The sequence below is a fragment of the Homo sapiens genome, chromosome 3 (genome assembly GCF_000001405.40).
Source record: "Homo sapiens chromosome 3, GRCh38.p14 Primary Assembly".
Classification (NCBI taxonomy): Eukaryota; Metazoa; Chordata; class Mammalia; order Primates; family Hominidae; genus Homo; species Homo sapiens.
In genome coordinates, this window is record NC_000003.12 from 80262566 (window position 1) to 80268182 (window position 5617).

General features: G+C 34.8%; 1 annotated feature.

Annotated features, from left to right (window-relative positions):
* Positions 622 to 1138: an enhancer, noted in NCBI's record as "NANOG hESC enhancer chr3:80312337-80312853 (GRCh37/hg19 assembly coordinates)". NCBI's record gives its function as "activates a minimal SCP1, AML or CMV promoter by ChIP-STARR-seq in naive H9 embryonic stem cells {active_cell/tissue: H9 hESC(naive)}" and the evidence as "EXISTENCE:reporter gene assay evidence [ECO:0000049][PMID:30033119]".

Genomic DNA, 5617 nt, shown 5'->3' on the forward strand with positions numbered 1-5617 from the left:
AAGATAACAACTCTATTATGTTTTTCTATTCGGGGTGTGTGTGTGTGTGTGTGTGTGTGTGTGTGTGTGTGTGTGTGTTTTAAAGTTTAATATAGGAGGCATTTCTTTTTTTTTTATTATACTTTAAGTTTTAGGGTACATGTGCACAATGTGCAGATTAGTTACATATGTATACATGTGCCATGTTGGTGTGCTGCACCCAGTGACTCGTCATTTAACATTAGGCATATCTCCTAATGCTATCCCTCCCGCCTGCCCTCACCCCACGACAGGCCCCAACCCAAATGTCCAACAATAATAGACTGGATTAAGAAAATGTGGCACATATACACCATGGAATACTATGCAGCCATAAAAAATGATGAGTTCATGTCCTTTGTAGGGACATGGATGAAGCTGGAAACCATTATTCTCAGCAAACTACAGCAAGGACAAAAAACCAGACACCGCATGTTCTCACTCATAGGTGGGAACTGAACAATGAGAACACATGGACACAGGAAGGGGAACATCTGTTTGTCTTTTCTTACTTAACTGTTGTATTTTTGTTCCACTGACTTCAGTAACCCTTTACTCAGATTATTTAGGTTTTTTATCTGTATAAACAGTTGAATATTATGTTTAAATCTGTGCAAGAAAAATAGAATATTTTAAAATGTTTGCATATTTCATTATGTCATTTTTTCATTAAAAAAATGACTTACTAAATTAAATCTACTTTATCCAGAAAGCCTAGATTTCATTTACATTCTCCACGTTAATCAACCTGAATACTATCCTTCAGATATTCTGCACTATTTGCTGTTTTCCTGCATAAAATCGTTTGACCACAGCTTCCTTTATTTAGCCATCCTGTGGTTATCCATGAATATTCTACAATGCCCTCAATGCTTATCTAAACACATGGAGATTTTCCTTCTTTGACCCCAACACAATGTGGCAAATTTTTTTTCTTACTGCCCTAAGGCAGTTTTCTATGTGTTCATTTGGACAATTTAAAACCTTTGTGTTTTGTTGTTTTCTTTATTTGTTCTTCTCCACGTGCTTGATTTTATTCCCTTGAAAGGAGAATATATATTTATTTTTTTCTTTAGAGATTTGAACAAGCCCTTAACTATATTAATCTTGTTTTTTTATCTGTAAATAAAAGTTAATAATAATTATGATTTTTTGGGCATTTTAACAAGCTAGATACTGTAGTAAATATATACGTTTTCTCTTTCACTCTTTACAAAAATCCTATGAGATAGTTATAATATTTCTGTCTTACAATGAAAAGCCTTCCCAAAGTTTTGATTCAGGATTGAACGTCAGATCTTCTGATATCTTCCAAATATCTTGATGGTAACTACTAGATCACATATTCATACCTTTATCACAGATTCTAAATAGAAATATATAGAGATCATTTATATATTAGATAATGATTTTTATATTGCTCAAAAAAGCCAAAAATAACTTACACAAATTATCAAATATATATTATATGTAATTAAATATTGGCAGTAAATATCTTTTAAAAGAATTGCACTATAGTTATGGGCCCATTAGAGAACTATGCACACATTAGAGGACTGAGGTCATGGTGCACAAATCAGAATCTGGAGAGATAGGCACATTCCAAGAATCACAGCTGAGATTTGCTTATCTGGAGCAGGAACCACTAGGGCTGTAAACAGCAGGAAACATATTAATACAATTTGATCAAAGGCTGAATGTTGAGTGTAGACTTGAATGACAGTAAGAAATCTCACGGGAATTTTTGCATGGATGTTCATCAAGGATATTGTCTTGAAGTTTTTCATTTTTAGTTGTATTTCTGCCAGGTTTTGGTATCAGGGTGATGCTGGCCTCATAAAATGAGTTAGGACGAACTCTTTCCTTTTCAATTTTTGAAATAGTTTCAGTAGAAATGTTACCAGCTCTTTGTACACCTGCTAGAATTCAGCTGTGAATCCATTTGGTCCTGGGCTTTTTTTGGCTAGTAGACTATTTATTACTGCCTTAATTTCAGAACTCATTACTGGTCTGCTCAGAAATTCAATTTCTTCTTGGTTTAGTCTTAGGAGGATGTATGTCTCCAGGAATTTATCCATTTCTTCTAGATTTTCTAGTTGATGTGCATAGAGGTGTTTATAATATTCTCTGATGGTTATTTGTATTTCTGGGGGATCAGTGGTAATATCCCCCTTATCATTTCTTGTTGTGTTTATTTGAATCCTCTCTTGTCTGTTTTATTAGTCTAGCTAGTGGCCTACCTATTTTATTACTTTTTTTTTCCAAAAAAAGCTCCTAGATTTGTTGATCTTTTGAAGGTTTTTTTGTGGCTCTATCTGTTCAGCTCTGATCTTGGTTATTTATTGTCTTCTGCTTGCTTTGTGGTTTTTTTGCTCTTGGTTCTCTAGTTCTTTCAGTTGTGATGTTAGGTTGGTAACTTGAGTTCTTTTGAGCTTTGTGATGTGGGCATTTAGTGCTATAAGTTTCCCTGTTAACACTGCCTTAGCTGTGTCCCAGAGATTCTAGAACATTGTATCCTTGTTCTCATTAGTTTCAAAGAACTTCTTGATTTCTGCCTTAATTTCATTATTTACCCAAAAGTCATTCAGAAGCAGGTTGTTCAATTTCCATGTAATTGTATGGTTTTGAGTGAATTTCTTAGTCTTGAATTCTAATTTGATTGTGCTGTGGTCTGAGATACTTTTTGTTATGATTTTAGTTCTTTTGCATTTGCTGATGAGGGTTTTCCTTCCAATTATGTGATAAATTTTAGAGTAAATGCCATGTGGCAATGAGAATAATGTATATTGTGTTTTTTGGGGGGTTGAGAGTTCTCCCATTTTGGAAGACAGTATGGCGATTCTTCAAAGACCTAAAGACTGAAATACCGTTAGACTCAGCAATCCCATTACTGGGTATATACCCAAGGAAATATAAGTCTTTCTGTTATAAAGTCACATGCACATGTATGTTCATTGCAGCGCTATTCACAATAGCAAAGACGTAGAACCAAACTAAATGCCCATCAATGATAGCCTGGATAAAGAAAATATGGTACATATACACCATGGAACACTATGCAGCCATAGAAAGGAATGAGATCATGTCCTTTGCAGGGACATGGATGAAACTGAAGGCAATAATCCTTAGCAAACTGATGCAGGAACAGAAACCAAATACCGCATGTTCTCACTTATAAGTGGGAGCTAAATGATGAGAACACATGGACACACAGAGGAGAACAGCACACACTGGGGACTACCAGAGGGTGGAGGTGGAAATGGAAGGAGGGGCAGGATCAGGAAAAAACAGCTAATGGGTACTGGGCTTAATACCTGACTGATGTACAACAAACTCCCTTAACACACATTTACCTATGTAACAAACCTTCACACACTGCACATGTATCCCTGAACTTAAAATAAAAATTTAAAAATAAATAAATATCTGTCTTCATAACCTTGAATTAGACAATGATCTCCTAAACATGTCATTGAAAGCAAAAAGCAACAAAAGAAAAAATATATATTTGACTTCACCAGATTAAAAACTTTTATACAAAAAAAACACCATTAAGAAAGTGAAATGAACCCACATAAAGGTACAAAATATTTGCAATTCATATATCTGATATAGGTCTAATCCAGAATATATAAAGACTGCTTACAACTCAATAACAAAAAGACAAACAACCCAGATAAAATTTGGACAAAATATTTGAATAGGTAGATCTCCAAAAAAGTATGTACAAATAGCTAATAAGTGCATGAACAGATCCTCAACATCATTATTCATTAGAGAAATGCACATCAAAACCACAATGAGACACCATTTTGCATGCACCAAGATGGTTATAATCTCTTCTAAAATGGAAAATAACAAGTGTTTACAAGGACGTGGGAAAATTGGAACCCTCATATATTGCTGGTGGGAATGTAAATGGTACATCCATTGATAAAAACTGGAAAATAGTTTGGCAGTTTCTCTTTTGAGAAGTGTCTGTTCATATCCTTCACCCACTTTTTGATGTGCTTCTTTGTTTTTTTCTTGTAAATTTGTTTGAGTTATTTCTAGATCCTGGATATTAGCCCTTTTCAGATGAGTAGATTACAAAAATTTTCTCCCATTCTGTAGGTTGCCTGTTCACTCTGATGGTAACTTCTTTTGCTGTGCAGAAGCTCTTTAGTTTAATTAGATCCCATTTGTCAATTTTGGCTTTTGTTGCCATTGCTTTTGGTGTTTTAGACATGAAGTCGTTGCCCATGCCTATGTCCTGAATGATATTGCCTAGGTTTTCTTCTAGGGTTTTTATGGTTTTAGGTCTAACATCTAAGTCTTTAATCCATCTTGAATTAATTTTTGTATAAGGTGTAAGGAAGGGATCCAGTTTCTCAAAATGTTAAACATGGAGGTACTAAATGAGCCAGCAATTCAACTTCTAGGTATAAGCCCAAAAGAAATGAAAACATGTGTCCACACAAAAACTGTATTCAAAAGTTCATGGCACCATTATTCATAATACCCAAAAGTAGAAACAACTAAAATGTCCATCGACTAGTGAATGGGTAAACAAAATGTGTTATATTCAAAAATTGGAATATTATTTGACCATAAAAAGAAAGGAAGTACTGATACATGCTACAACAGGCATGAACCTTGAAAACATTGCACTAAGTGAAATGAGTTAAACGCAAAATGCCACATAATTATAATTCCATTTATAAAAAAAAATCTATTATAGGAAAATTCATAGAGACAGAAAGTAGATTAGGGGCCGGGGGCAGTGGAGTAAAAGCGGCTGCTAACAGACATGGAATTTCTTTTTCTAGAATGATCCATGCAATGCAGGATTAGGGTTGGAGACAAAAATATGAACTTATGCTAGTGTAACAGTGATGCAGAAGATACACAGTGAAGCATTAACAGACAGCGTATACACACACAGGTTAGTATACGCACATATATTTGCTTGGTCTGTCAGTTGAGAAGCCCTAGAGGCCATATGAAATTCTAGTAACAGTGAACATACCTAGCTCACAAATATTGTTTTATGCCAATCTCTAATAAAACAAACTACAGCCTCTTGAAGAAATGATTAGTTTTAGGACGGGAACAGAAAATACACAAGACAAAACTGGAACATCTTCTAGTACCGAAAAGTAAGAAATGCTCAAACCTATATACCACAGTGAAGGGATTCCAGGGCAACTGAAAAAGACCCTAATACCCAAGGCTACAAAAATTGTGATCAATAAAATAAAAGAGTATTAGATAATAACCACAGTTTGAAATAAATATGTGTCAATACTATTATAAATAAATGCTAAGGGGAGAAGAAGCCACAAGAATCCCACACAGAATTATTTCAAATAATTACGTAGGTGCTCCGTATCAAACAAGTAGAGCCTAGTTTCCTACGCTTTAAGTGTGGACTACACTTTGTGACTTGCTGCCTGTGAGTACAGTATATGAGAAATGAAAAAGTAAATTTACAGTGGAGAAACCTGTGAAACACTACATTAGCCATGTGATGAAGGTAAGCATCCACAGTGATATGTTATGAAAGTGTGTAGCCTTGCACATGTGTACAAATGTAACAAACCTGCACGTTGTGCACGTG